Source organism: Homo sapiens, chromosome 10 (genome assembly GCF_000001405.40).
Source record: "Homo sapiens chromosome 10, GRCh38.p14 Primary Assembly".
Classification (NCBI taxonomy): Eukaryota; Metazoa; Chordata; class Mammalia; order Primates; family Hominidae; genus Homo; species Homo sapiens.
Genome location: NC_000010.11, coordinates 93,305,140 through 93,320,316, shown reverse-complemented (window position 1 = coordinate 93,320,316; position 15,177 = coordinate 93,305,140). Strand labels below are relative to the sequence as shown.

General features: G+C 47.1%; 1 protein-coding gene across 9 annotated transcripts in view; it reads left to right on the top strand.

The window, feature by feature from the left end:
• MYOF (myoferlin) overlaps positions 1-13,888 on the top strand; it is a 175,906-nt gene extending 162,018 nt beyond the window's left edge. For all 9 annotated transcript variants that reach the window (XM_047425049.1, NM_133337.3, XM_005269694.6 and 6 more), the window contains 6 exons: positions 304-445; positions 3,504-3,603; positions 7,107-7,297; positions 9,674-9,783; positions 10,150-10,297; positions 13,316-13,888. In XM_047425049.1, the coding sequence (XP_047281005.1) occupies positions 304-445; positions 3,504-3,603; positions 7,107-7,297; positions 9,674-9,783; positions 10,150-10,297; positions 13,316-13,354 (730 nt within the window). In that variant the 3' untranslated portion in view covers positions 13,355-13,888. The remainder of the gene's footprint in view (positions 1-303; positions 446-3,503; positions 3,604-7,106; positions 7,298-9,673; positions 9,784-10,149; positions 10,298-13,315) is intronic.
• Positions 13,889-15,177: the final 1,289 nt, after the last annotated feature.

The following is a 15,177-nucleotide window of genomic DNA, read 5'->3' as shown; positions in this document are numbered from 1 at the left end:
CCAAAATAGAAGCTACATTGTTGATATTTTCCAGAAAATTTCACCTTAGCCCTGTTAACTGAAGTCTAAAGGGTTTCCTGCTTTGGTTTTAGGGGAATGATATTTTATTTGGCCACAACCTGTGTTGGATGCAATAGAGCACCTCCCCTCCATAAATCACCCCCAGCTCCGAAGATAACTGGAATCTGCCCAAGAAAAGTGCATTAATTCTCCTGCTCTTTGCTCCCCTAATTACTGCACAATTTTGCGGCTACATGACTTGTCAATCACGTGAAGCTAAGTCTGTTTGCCTCTGCCTTTCAGCTGGATTCCTGGCAATGAAGAAAACAAACAGAAAACAGATGTCCATTACAGATCTTTGGATGGTGAAGGGAATTTTAACTGGCGATTTGTTTTCCCGTTTGACTACCTTCCAGCCGAACAACTCTGTATCGTTGCGAAAAAAGTGAGCTCTGAAATATGCCGCTGGGAAGTGGGTATCATGGATCTTCCTTAACTCAGAAGCTCATAGAATGCTGGAGCTGCTCAGGATCTCGGAGGTCACTGAGTCCGGCTCCTTCTCAGCAGAGATGGGGAATCTGCCACCTTGACACTTGTCCAAGGTCACACTGCTAGGACAGGTATTTGTGTCATTAGGAAGCATGAGGAGCACAACTTTCTTTCCCCTCACATACTCACATACTGGTGGCGAAGGATAAAGGGTAGAAGTAACGGTTTTGTATTAGTATAAACAACAACCCAAGTGTGTTCTTTATGTGATGGGGAGACTGATGTCTTCCCATGCTAGGCAGAGTCAAGCAGAGGCCCAGTATTAAAGTGGGTATCCTTCCTTATCAAACTTCCACATCTGCTTTACCTCCCTCAGAGGCACTGCCATGAGGGCTCAGGGCCCTCCTGGTCTTAACTAGTTAGACTTTCAGTTACAGAACTCAACTCAAACTGGCTGACACCAGAAAAACGATGTATTGGTTCACATTACCAAAAAGTCCAGGCTTCTGCTGGCTTTAAGCCCGTCTGGATCCCACAGTGAAGTGATAATGACTTTAGAAATTGGTTTCACCCTCCACACTCTTCCCCAGGAGACAGTGGCAGCCTCAGCTCACATCCTGTCCTCCCCGCAAACCTCAGCAGAAAGAGAAGAGCGAAGCCCTCATGGGGCCAACCAGAGTTCTGTAATTGGGCCTCAATGTCTCTGCTTTTGGGGGTCATGTGCCTATCCCTGAACCAACCATTGTTGCCCAGGGATGCTCTGATTGTCCAGGCTCTAGAGTTAGTGACAGAGGCAGCTTCTCTAAAATTTGGGGAAAAGGGGAGTCCGCTAAGGAAAATCTGGGTGCTTTCATTCCAAAAAAGGGGGCCTAGAACCTGCATAGTCAATAACAACAGATGTCTTCTATAGGTGCCCTGTTCCATTCCTGCCTCCACATTCTGTCAGCTTCCTCCTCTCCCCACACCTGATCAGAATGTACCAGCCACCAGCCCTGTGTCGCATTAGGCCTACCCTCTGCTGGCCCTACTCAGTGCTAATGCTGTAGTAAGCACTATTTTTTGTTTTTTTGAGACAGAGTTTCACTGTTGTTGCCCAGGCTGGAGTGCAATGGTGCAATCTCAGCTCACCACAACCTCTGCCTCCTGGATTCAAGCTATTCTCCTGCCTCAGCCTCCCAAGTAGCTGGGATTACAGGCATGTACCATCACGCCCAGCTAATTTTGTACTTTTAGTAGAGACGGGGTTTCTCCGTGTTGGTCAGGCTGGTCTTGAACTCCTGACCTCAGGTGATCCACCCACCTCGGCCCCGCAAAGTGCTGGGATTATAGGTATGAGCCACCGTGCCCAGCCAGCACTGTTTTAATACCAGTGGGATGAACGCCTTCAAAGGGGACTTTTTTCTTTTTGAGATAGGGTCTCACTCTGCCACCCAGGCTGGAGTGTAGTGGTGCACTCACAGCTCACTGCAGCCTTGACCTTCTGGGCTCAAGCAATCCTCCCACCTCAGCCTCCCTAGTAGCTGGAACTATAGGCATGCATCACCATGCCTGGCTAATTTTTGTATTTTTTGTAGAGATAAGGTTTCACTTTGTTGCCCAGGCTGGTCTCGAACTCCAAGGATCAAGCCATTCTCCCACCTTGGCCTCCCAAAGTGACAAAGGGGACTTTTAAGAGGCACAGAAGCTCAATGTGATATCAAAAATGCACACTTTCAGATGGTGTGGCATCAGGGCTGATGGTGGGGATCAGGGCTTTAGGTATGGTTACCTTTCCTGTTTACCCACATCTAGGGCCAGACCTCCCCACACCCTGTGGTGCTTGGAGCATGATCCTACCCAGGACAGTCAGGCAGCAACAGATAACAGCAGAGTGGGCTGCCGAGCCCCTCAGAGCCAGGCTTTCTGAGCCCTGCAAAGGAAAACATTCCTGGAATATGAAAAACAACCCAGTAATCTTCCTTCAAATTCATGAAACACTGGGAAATTCCCTTTTCACTGGGGCCAGAGGAACTTAGGTGTACCTGAGCTGTAAAGATGTTTAGTCTTAGTTAACATTGTCTGAGGCAATGGAGGCAAGAACTTGAAGGACACTTACCTAGTCTTCCTTCAACCTACCTCTAGCATGAGGATCTGAGGGTCTTAAGTGACCACAAGCAAACAAAAGCCAGTGGTTTGTTTTGTTTTGTTTTGTTTCTGAGACGGAATCTCTGTCGCCCAGGCTGGAGTGCAGTGGTATGATCTCAGCTCACTGCAACCTCCACCTCCCAGGTTTGAGTGATTCTCGTGCCTCAGCCTCCCAGGTAGCTGGTATTACAGGCATGCACCATCATACCCAGCTATGTTTTGTATTTTTAGTAGAGACGGGGTTTCACCATGTTGGCCAGGCTGGTCTCAAACTCCTGGCCTTAAGTAATCTACCCCCTCGGCCTCCCAAAGTATTGGGATTACAGGAATGAGCCACTGCACCCAGCCCAATGGTATTTTTCAAAGGCCAAAAATCCCAGACATTCTAAATCTGCACTGATAAAAGAGCAGAAGTAGAATCTGGGCCCCAGTCTCCTTACCCCCATGTAAAATGAGAGCATACTCAGACATCTGTGTGGGTGGGAGGGTGGGTAGAAAGTTGCTGAGCAGAAGTGACACCCCGGTGGGTGATACTGTGGGCTGATCTAGAATGCCTGGCCTTAGGAGGATAATCTAAATAGGACATAGTGGTCTTTGGTGGGGAGATGAGTCACTCTCCAACCCCCAGGTGGCAGCGGGAAGTCACACTGATAGGGACATGGCAGGAAATCTTCTTTGGGAAAAACCTGGGACATTCCTTCAGTTGCCCAGCTTGTGATTTCCTGGGGAGCCTGACTGCTCTCTGTACAGATAGAGTGGAAGGATTTAGGCCCAAGGGAGTGTCAGGGTGGGGGTGCAAAGGAGAGAAAGGCCCCAGGCTTTGATGCTGTCTTAAGGAGCCAAAGGTGAGTGTTTCAGAGTCATCATGATCATGTTTCTTTTTGTTTTAGGAGCATTTCTGGAGTATTGACCAAACGGAATTTCGAATCCCACCCAGGCTGATCATTCAGATATGGGACAATGACAAGTTTTCTCTGGATGACTACTTGGGTAGGGCTTACATTTGGATCATTGTTTCTAAGAAACTGTACTTGGAATTAGTGGGGTCAATGAAAACTTGGAAGCAATTCTTTAAATCTTCAATACTTTTTGGTAATGGGGGCCTGGTGGGGGGACAGGGGATACACCCAGTGCTTGTGTGAGCTCTTGGCAGTGCAGCCTGACAGTGAGTGCCATCCCTTTTCAAGGGCTCTGGTGAGGGTCTTGCACCAGCTCCTGTCTGTCTGTGAAGACTCAAGTCCTGTTTCTGCAGGGGGATGCCACACTCCTACATCCACTTTCAAACCAGCCACTCTCTCCTCAGCACCTGGGAATCAGCTCCTACCCTCCTCAACCTGTTCCCAAGTTACCAAGGTCCCCAACCCCCCCGCCATTTCTCCTGTCCCTAGGCCCATTCTCCTCTGTGGTAAGGGCACTAGTTCAATGCACCCTTAGCCCGGGCCCTTCCCTCTCCTGGCACACTCCTCCCTCGCCCCCCATGGCACTGTGCTCTCCAGATTTTCACTCTCCCAGGCTCTGGTCTTGTCACATTAGCCAGCTCTGTTTCTGCATCCCACTCTATTTTTTTATTTTTTTATTTTTGGAGACAGGTCTCTCTGTTACCCAGGCTGGAGTGCAGTGGCACGATCATAGCTCACTGCAACCTCAACCTCCTGGGTTCGAGAAATCCTTCCACCTCAGCCTCCCGAGTAGCTGGGACTACAGGCATACGAAACCTGGCTAATTTTTTTTTTTTTTCACTTTTTAGTACAGACGAGGTCTCACTATGTTGCCCAGGCTGGCCTTGAACCCCTGAGCTCAAGCAATCCTTGCACCTCAGCCTCTCAAAGTGCCAGGATTACAAGCATAAGCCACAGCGCCCAGCCTCCCACTTTTTGAATACAGGCCTTCCCTGAGGTTCTTCTGCTCTCCTCCAACCCGCCAACCACCCCCTCCAAGGATTTACCCACTCTCACCTCAGTGGAAGGTCATGCTTCAACTCTCACCTTTCCACAAAGTATGGCTCCTAAACCAGGACGTGTAGCCTGCGCTCTCATAGTGCCTGCAGTACAGTCAAAGGAAATCGTTGTGAGGGTCATTCCTGATTCCTGGCCAGAACCTCCCACCTTTATATCTGGCTGGCAGTGAGCCTGTACTGTGACTGAAATCTCACTCAGCATTTCTTCCCTGACCTCACCCCTGCTCTCCTCAGGAACTTATTTAGCAGCTCACAACCCCTCCATTTCCCCAGCCACCCAGGCGAAAGCACCCGGAGTCCTCTGTGGTTTTCCTCCTCTCTTTTCTCCCCACGCCCCGCCAGCCACTCCATTCTAGCAATGTCATCTGTTTTATCACGCACACTTATTTTCTTAGTCCTGTGATCTCTGCCACTTGCCAGTTGAAACTCACTTTCTGCTAGCCACATGTTACAGTAGCCCCTGACTGGTCTCCCTGTTTCCACGCTGCTTCCAGGGGTCCCTCCTGGCAGAGGAAACACCCACCAAAGGCTGTGTCTTATTTATCCCTTTTCCCCGCACAGTACCTAATGCAATGGTTTTGACTAAGTGCTTAGTTAAGAGGTCAGCAAATAAATGAGTATGCAAGTAGGCTTACATAAAGTATATGGATAGTAAATTCTAGGATAATAAAGGGTTTGCCCTTGGCTTTGTTTGTTGAGACAGAGTCTCACTCTCTCACCCAGGCTGGAGTGCAGTGGCATGATCTAGGATCACTGCAACCTCCACCTCCTGGGCTCAGGCGATCCTCCCAACCTCAGCCTCCCAAGTAGCTGGGACCACAGACACGTGCCACCAAGCCTGGATAATTTTGTGTATGTTTTGTAGAGACAGGGTTTTGCCATGTTGCCCAAGCTGGTCTCAAATTCCTGAGCTCAAGTAATCTGCCCACCTCGGCCTCCCAATATTGCTGGGATTACAGGCATGAGCCACCATGCCTGGCCTTCCCTTGGAATTTAAACAAAACTATCAGACAACAAATAAAGAGAATGACTGTGTCTCAAAATGCCAAGTGAGCACATAACCAAAAGGAGAGGGGAGACAAAAGCAGTCATAGGTCAAGAAAGGCTAAGGTCACGTGTCTTATGGGTCCACTATATGCTGAAGGGTAGTCCCTGAGCCTGACAGTTTAAAGAGAAAATGCCACAACCTCCTTGTTGCTCTTTGCTGCCACTGCTGAAGGCCAGACTCTTGCCCCAGTCATCCATAGACTTGACCCCACATCACAGATACCATTTTCTTAAGGAAAGGGCTCACAGGAGTTCCCAAGCCCAAAACACACTTTTCCCTTACCGTGGAAGTGGTACTAAAGAGTTAATGTGGCCGGGCACAGTGGGTCATGCCTGTAATCCCAGAACTTTGGGAGGCCAAGGTGGGTGGATCACATGAGGTCAGGAGTTCAAGACCAGCCTGGCCAACATGGCAAAACCCTGTCTCCACTAAAAATACAAAAATTAGCCGGGCATTGTGGTGCACACCTGTAGTCCCAGCTACTAGGGAGGCTGAGGCATGAGAATCGCTTGAACCCAGTAGGCGGAGGTTGCAGTGAGCTGAGATCACATCACTGTACTCCAGCCTGGGTTATAGAGAGAGACTCAGTCTCAAAAAGAGTGAATGCCTTACATCATAGAAGGGACAATGTGCTTCTCCAGACACTCTGATTGAGGCTAGGAGTCTCAGTTCCTGGTGAGCGTTTTCTGTTGAGTCATGTTCCTTCTCAAGCTTCTGTTTCTGAGGTTTTACTAGGAGAGTCTTGGACATGCACATTTCATGCAGCATCCTGTGTTGGTTTTCTGTTTTGTTTTTTTTGAGACAGAATCTCGCTCTGCTGCCCAGGCTGGAGAACAATGGTGCGATCTCTGCTCACTGCAACCTCTGCCTCCTGGGCTCACGCGATTCTTGTGCCTCAGCCTCTTGAGTAGCTGGGATTACGGATGTGTGCCATCGTGCCCGGCTAATTTTTATATTTTTAGTAGAGACGGGGTTTCACCATGTTGGCCAGGCTGGTCTTGAACTCCTGACCTCAAGTGATCTGCCCACCTCAGCCTCCCAAAGTGCTAGGATTACAGCCGTGAGCCACTTTGCCCAGCCAGCATCCTGTGTTCTAAGCACCTATTGTCTTTACCCAAAGCCAAATGACCTCTCTGCTCAGGGCAGCTCAGAACTAAAAGGAAAACATTTCACATCCAAGGGCCTTGAGTTGAGTGAAAATTGTGTCTGTAGATATTTCATTACTTTGAGTTTAAAGAACTCTGTTTATGCTCATATCTTTGAGAAAGAAAACAGGAGATGCTGTGCAGTGGACGGCTATTTCTTCGGCCATTTTCCTTCCTAACTGGAAAGACTTTAAATGTCCACCAGGCTCCCTTTCTCTAACTCACCATTTACCTGTTCAAAATCACTGTGTGCCTCTCTCCTGATAAGAACGTTCTGTTCACTTGTGAACAACAGCTGATCCACTTGAAGCTCATTTGGACTTACTGTTGTTTCCTTGGCTAGGTTTCCTAGAACTTGACTTGCGTCACACGATCATTCCTGCAAAATCACCAGAGAAATGCAGATTGGACATGATTCCGGACCTCAAAGCCATGAACCCCCTTAAAGCCAAGACAGCCTCCCTCTTTGAGCAGAAGTCCATGAAAGGATGGTGGCCATGCTACGCAGAGAAAGATGGCGCCCGCGTAATGGCTGTATGAACATTTCCTGGTTCTGGTTGAAAATCGTTTATGCCTTTTATCATTTAGGTTTTGCCCTTTATCCATAGACTTACTCCAGATAAAATGAGGAAGTTTTAAATTGGTGGGAGTTTAAGTTATGGGAACAGTTTGTCTTTGGGATATGTTTGCCTTTGTCTTACAATATAAGGTGGGAGATGCTGTGAGCATGTGTTTGGAGTTGGAGGAAGGTGAAGAAGTTGGAATGGTCAAAAAGTAGAAGCCCAGGTGGTTTCACTATATTTTCCTTTCTTCTTCATCAGGGAAGTTAATTAATGCTAGGCTTCTAGTACAATTTCGTATGGAAAAGGGAACTTCACATTTGAATTTTTCTCATTAAAAAAAAAAGGTAGGGCTGGGTGTGGTGGCTCATGCCTGTAATCCAAGGCAGGTGGATTACCTGAGGTCAGGAGTTCGAGACCAGCCTGGCCAACGTGGCAAAACACCGTCTCTACTAAAAATACAAAAACAACAACAACAAAAATAGCCAGTAGTGGTGGTGCACACCTGTAGTCCCAGACACTTAGGAGGCTGAGGCACGAGAATCACTTGGACCCAGGAGGCATAGGTTGCAGTGAGCCAAGATCGTGCCACTGTACTCCAGCCTGGGTGACAGAGTGAGACTCTGCCTCAAAAAAAATAAAAAAGAAAAAAAAGAGAGGTGGAAGAAGCAAGGTGTGCTGGCATTAGTTGAATAAGAAGGCCATAAATTACAAGCAAGTTGAGGAACTCAAGATGTATTTTGATCTAGAAGCAATAGTGTGGGTTACCATGCCATATCACGAAAGACTACCTAGTTCATTATGCATTATTAAAAATAGCTAACATTTTTGATCATTAATTTTGAACCAGGCAGCATGCCAAGTACCTTACATTCATAATCTTTTTAAAAACAACCTTGGTGTATAATTTACATAAACTGTATTCATTTAAAGTACACAATTTGATGACTTTTGACAGATGTAGACACTCACTGAACCATAATCAAGATCCAGAACCTTCCCATCACCCCCAAAATTTCCTTGTGCTCTCTCTCTGCAGTCCATTGCTCCCTCCCTCCCTGGTCCCAGGAAACCACTGACCTGCTTTCCGTTACAATACAGCAGTTTGCACATAACCTCACTTAGTTCTGCTGACAACGCCATGAAGTAGACATTGTCCCCACTTTAGCGATTCCAAAAACAGTCTTGGAGAGATGGAGCAACTTGCCAAAGTCAGAAACCCAGCTTTGTCTGACTTGTAAGGGTAGAGGTCATCAGGGCTCTACTCAGGGCCAGGGCTTCCCAAATTGTTGGTGACCTTGCTGCCTTTCCTGGCTCTTAGAAAGTCTGTTACAAAGTCTGTTACAATCTTAGGTATGGCTCACTATAAAAGTGGGCAGGTTTGTTGCTTTTTTTTTTTTTTTTAGAGATGAAGTCTCACTCTGTCACCCAGGCTGGAGTGCAGTGGTGCGATCTCTGCTTACTGCAACCTCTGCCTCCCAAGTAGCTGGGACTACAGGCGCACGCCACCATGCTGGCTAATTTTTTTTTTTTTTTTTGTATTTTTAGTAGAGATGGGGTTTCGCCATGTTGGCCAGGCTGGTCTTGAACTCCTGACCTCAGGTGATCCTCCCGCCTCAGCCTCCCAAAGCACTGGGATTACAGGCATAAGCCACTGCGCCCAGCCAAAAGTGGGCAAGTTTCTAGACCACTTTCACTTTGGCCTCACTGTTCTCATTTGCACATGAGGACAATAATAGTACCTTTGTAGGGTTGCCATGAGCATTACATGAGATAACCCATGTAGAACATTTAAACGGTGCTGGGAACATCACTCAGGAACCCGTGAGCAGGGAGAAAACATTCATTCACTCACTCATTCATTCATTTATTGAGCTAGTGTACATGGAGTACCTACTGAATGCCAGCCACTGTGCACAGTAGGTGACAATGATTGATAGGCATGAAGAGATATGGCTCTGTTCTCTTACTGGGAGCCTACAATAATGCTCAATAAATGTTAGATATTGTTATTAGTGGTATTCAGGTTAGTCTGGGTCCAAGTGAAGTTACATAGGAAGGTGTGTGGGGAGACAAGGAGACCAATGTGAGAATGTTAGAGTGAGGGGGATACAGAAAATGAAAAGTAGGGAGTGGGGGAAGCAATTTGTCCTCAAAGTTTCCCACACAGAGTCAGTTCAGAAACACATGGAAGAGGAAATGGGATGAAATCTCTTGAGGAAAACTGAAGGCAATCTAAGGATTGTTTTACAAGAATAAAAATCATTGCTCGGGGAATACTCCTTGGGTTGAAGTAAAAATATTTGTGAAACATGATGTCATATGTTTAACCTGCTCTGCTTTACTGAAGGGGAAAGTGGAGATGACATTGGAAATCCTCAACGAGAAGGAGGCCGACGAGAGGCCAGCCGGGAAGGGGCGGGACGAACCCAACATGAACCCCAAGCTGGACTTACCAAAGTGAGAGGCCTTCTTTGTTCTCCCACTCCCCAAACACCTGCAGGCTGAGAGCCCCCCTTCCCATTGGCTTAATGGGATGGATTAGCTTTTGTGGTCCTCCTAATCTGGTATTTAATAGTGGTGGGTGGGGGTGGAGAGGTTGGTGATCTGGCTTCATTTTAAGAATTCTCCTTTCCAGGAAACCAAAGTTCAGCATCTTAGGAAGCTGTCGTAGGTTAAAGAGCCTTTCTCAGTCAACGAAGGGGAACAGTATTTTTTCTTGACCTTATTAATGTGATTCTTTATTCCTGAAACTGTGTTATGCTCTGGAATAAAATATGCATCCCTCCTGAGTTGGGTAGGTGATACTGTTTCTTTGCAATGCAGTCGACCAGAAACCTCCTTCCTCTGGTTCACCAACCCATGCAAGACCATGAAGTTCATCGTGTGGCGCCGCTTTAAGTGGGTCATCATCGGCTTGCTGTTCCTGCTTATCCTGCTGCTCTTCGTGGCCGTGCTCCTCTACTCTTTGCCGGTAGGAGCCCTTCCTTGGCCCCTTGTCTTGGCTTTCTTGTGAGTTGCAGTTGGTCCTCTCCCTTGGCATCTGCCCTGACCACTGTGCAGAAGAATGACCCGCTCAGCAGCATGGGGTTGTAACCCTTCTGCTTTGGGGAAATTTAAAGTAATGTGTCTTGTAATTAGAATCACATTCTCAGGGTTTCACAAATTACGGGCAGAACTTTTCTTTATGATCTGAAAATAACTTTGGTTTCAGGAATTCTAGGAGAAATCACTCAGGTCTCGGTCAGTGTGTGTCTGGACTATGGCCAGCGTTTCCAGCTGATCTTCCTGCCTTCAGACTTTCTTGTTCCAAACCATCCTGCATCCTAATTCCTTGTCCTAGCTTCAAGAATCCCCAAATCTGGGTTCATTGTGGGTCTACATATACCTTGTGTTCCACCCAAACTAGATCATTGATCCCAACCTCCCCAAATATTATTGCCCTTACCTATCTGGATGCCTTTGCCAATTTTGTTTCTCTGTCCACATTTATCTATCAAAACCTCACTCATTTTTTAAGGCTCATGTCACGTATAACCTCCCCCTTAAATGTTCCCCTAATCACCCCAGTCATAAACGGGAGTCCAAGTGGGAGATTTGGCAGCTTGCCTAGAAGTAGTACCTCCCTTCCTCCATCCAGAGGATGTATTGCGCATCTACGACAGGCTAGGAATTAAGTTATAGTGATGATTAAATTATTGGCATGATTTGTGCCCAAGAGCAGTTCATATTCTGGGAACAGGCAGCCACGGGAACAAGGACACATGACTAAGGGAGGTGAGCTGTTATGGAGACAGAAACAAACAACCGTGGGCACCCCCTGCTAAGACAGTTCCTCCAAGGAGGGGACATTCAAGTTTGCCAAGTGGAGAAGGGATAGTCCAGGCAGAGGAAGCCATGCTCAGAAGTTGGGCCAGTGGCACTGAATGTCACAGGAGACATTCAAAAGCTCTTACTCCAAAAACACATTAATAATAATATCAGCTGGGCGAGGTGGCTCATGCCTGTAATCCTGGCACTTTGGGAGGCCGAGGCGGGTGAATCACTTGAGGTCAGGAGTTCAAGACTAGCCTGGCCAACATAGCGAAACCCCGTCTCTACTAAAAATACAAAAATTAGTTGGGTGTGGTGGCACATGCCTGTAATCCCAGCTACTAGGGATGCTAAGATAGGATAATTGCTTGAACCTGGGAGGCGGAGGTTGCAGTGAGCTGAGACCACACCACTGCACTCCAACCTGGATGAAGAAGTGAGACTCTGTCTCAAAAAAATAGTATCGTAGCCATACAAGCAGCAGGGGTTTTGTGTCTTCATTTTTCCCCAGTATAGTACTTCTAGTTTGTCATCTATGAGTATATGTACACTATTATACAGTCGTAGCTGGTCAAACTGCTTTTTTTTTTTTTTTTGAGACAGAGTCTCACTCTATCACCCAGGCTGGAGTACAGTGGCACGATCTCGGCTCACTGCAACCTCCGCCTCCCAGGTTCAAGCATTTCTCATGCCTCAGCCTCCCGAGTAGCTGGGATTACAGGTGCCTGCCACCACACCCTGCCAATTTTTGTATTTTTAGTAGAGACTGGGTTTCACCATGTTGGCCAGGCTGGTCTCGAACTCCTGACCTCAAGTGATCCACCCACCTCAGCCTCCCAACGTGCTAGGATTATAGGTGTGAACCACCACATTCGGTCCCAGTCCAACTGTCTTGACCATTTAAAAAACTTCTATTTTTTTTATTTTTTATTTTTTTTGAGATGGGGTTTTGCTCTGTCACCCAGGCTGGAGTACAGTGGCGCAATCTTGGCTCACTGCAACCTCTGCCTCACAGGTTCAAGCGATTCTCCAGCCTCAGCCTCCCAAGTAGCTGGGATTACAGGCACCCACCACCATGCCCGGCTAATTTTTTTATTTTTAGTAGAGACGGGGTTTCACCATGTTGGCCAGGCTGGTCTCCAACTCCTGACCTCATGTGATCTGCCTGCCTTAGCCTCCCAAAGTGCTGGGATTACAGGTGTGAGCCACTGCACCCGGTCTAGTTAATTCTTTTTCCTGATTTAGATTCTGTTGGCAGCCGGGTACAGTGGCTCACACCTATAATCCCAGCACTTTGGGAGGCTGAGGCGGGCGGATCACCTGAGGTCAGGAGTTTGAGACCAGCCTGACCAACATGGTGAAACCCTGTCTCTACTAAAAATTTAAAAATTAGCAGAGCGTGTTGGTGGGCGCCTGTAATCCCAGCTACTTGGGAGGCTGAGGCTGGAGAATCACTTGAACCTGCGAGGCAAAGGTTGCAGTGACTGGAGATCACGCCACTGCACTCCACCCTGGGTGACAAGTGCAAAACTCCGTCTCAAAAAAAAAAAAAAAATTCTATTGGTTTAAACCAGTGGTTACTGCAGGGCGTGGTGGCTCACGCCTGTAATCCCACCATGTTTGGAGGCCGAGGCAGGCGGATCACGAGGTCAGGAGACAGAGTCCATCCTGGCTAACACAGTGAAACCCCATCTCTACTAAGAATATAAAAAATTAGCTGGGCATGGTGGCAGGCGCCTGTAGTCCCAGCTGCTCTGGAGGCTGAGGCAGGAGAATGGCATGGCGTGAACCTGGGAGGCGGAGGTTGCAGTGAGCCGAGATCGCGCCACTGCACTCCAGCCTAGGCGACAGAGCAAGACTCCATCTCAAAAAAAAAATAAAAATAAAAATAAACCAGTGGTTCCCAATTAGGGGAGATTTTTGCTCCCCACCCCCAAGAGGACATTTGCCAACGTCTGGAGACATTTTGGTTGCAACAACTTGGCGGGGGGGTGCTACTGGCACTCGGTGGGTAGAGGCCAGTGAAAGCTGCTGAACATCCTACAATGCACAGGACACTCCCCAACAAGAAAGAATCATCTGGTTCAAAATGTCAATTTTTTCTCAAGATTGAGAAACCCTAACTGAAAAACATATATACATACATGTTTTTTTACCACTGTTTTTGTTTCCTTTCCAGAACTATTTGTCAATGAAGATTGTAAAGCCAAATGTGTAACAAAGGCAAAGGCTTCATTTCAAGAGTCATCCAGCAATGAGAGAATCCTGCCTCTGTAGACCAACATCCAGTGTGATTTTGTGTCTGAGACCACACCCCAGTAGCAGGTTACGCCATGTCACCGAGCCCCATTGATTCCCAGAGGGTCTTAGTCCTGGAAAGTCAGGCCAACAAGCAACGTTTGCATCATGTTATCTCTTAAGTATTAAAAGTTTTATTTTCTAAAGTTTAAATCATGTTTTTCAAAATATTTTTCAAGGTGGCTGGTTCCATTTAAAAATCATCTTTTTATATGTGTCTTCGGTTCTAGACTTCAGCTTTTGGAAATTGCTAAATAGAATTCAAAAATCTCTGCATCCTGAGGTGATATACTTCATATTTGTAATCAACTGAAAGAGCTGTGCATTATAAAATCAGTTAGAATAGTTAGAACAATTCTTATTTATGCCCACAACCATTGCTATATTTTGTATGGATGTCATAAAAGTCTATTTAACCTCTGTAATGAAACTAAATAAAAATGTTTCACCTTTACACCTGGCTGTTTGTTGTAACTGTGGGTCAAGTGAGGAAGGAGGCATTTTTCTGGCCTTGTTTTTTCAGTGAAGAGAATGCCCTGGCATACCTCTTGGCCATATACCCTTTATAAATATGCTGCCCAATTTTAGCCAGTAGGTCAAACTGAATATAACATTGTAAATAAAAGCTAACAGTTGGCTGGACAGAGCGGTTCACGCCTGTAATCCCAGCACTTTGGGAGGCCGAAGCGGGCAGATCACCTGATGTTGGGAGTTCAAGACCAGCCTGACCAACATGGAGAAACCCCGTCTCTACTAAAAATACAAAATTAGCCGGGTGTGGTGGTGCATGCCTATAATCCCAGCTACTCGGGAGGCTGAAGCAGGAGAATTGCTTGAACTCAAGAGGCGGAGGTTGTGGTGAGCCGAGATTGCCCTGTTGCACTCCAGCCTGGGCAACAAGAGTGAAATTCCATCTCAAAAAAAAAAAAAAAAAAAAGACCGGGCGCGGTGGCTCACGCCTGTAATCCCAGCACTTTGAGAGGCCGAGGCAGGCGGATCACAAGGTCAGGAGATCGAGACCATCCTGGCTAACACGGTGAAACCCTGTCTCTAACCAAAATACAAAAAATTAGCCAGGCGTGGTGGCGGGCGCCTGTAGTCCCAGCTATTCGGGAGGCTGAGGCAAGAGAACGGCGTGAACCTGGGAGGCAGTGCTTGCAGTGAGCCGAGATCGCACCACTGCACTCCAGCCTGGGCAACAGAGTGAGACTCCATCTCAAAAAAAAGAAAGAAAAAGAAAAAGCTAACACTAAAGGTACTTATTCTGTGCACGGCAGTGTTTTAAGTGGTTTATATGTATTAACTTACTTAAGGATGAGGAAGCCCTATAAACATAGGTCACAGTCTCAACCCCAGGTGTAAGTCCGTTTTCACACTGCTATAAAGATACTACCTCAGACAAAGCACATTATAAACAAAGGAGGTTTAATTGACTCACAGGTCTGCATGGCTGGGGAGGCCTCAGGAAACTTACAATCATGGTGGAAGGCAAGGTGGCAGGAGAGAGCGAGCAAACAGGGCAGATGCCAGACACTTAGCAAACAACCAGATCTTGTGAGAACTCTCTCACTATCATGAGAACAGCATGGGGGAAGCCATCCCCATGATCCAGTCACCTCCCACCAGGTCCCTCCCTCGACACCTGGGGATTACAATTCAGATCACAATTCAAGAAGAGATTTGGGTGGGGACACAGCCAAGCCATATCACCCCATTTACAGTTGAAGAAATTAAGTCACAAAG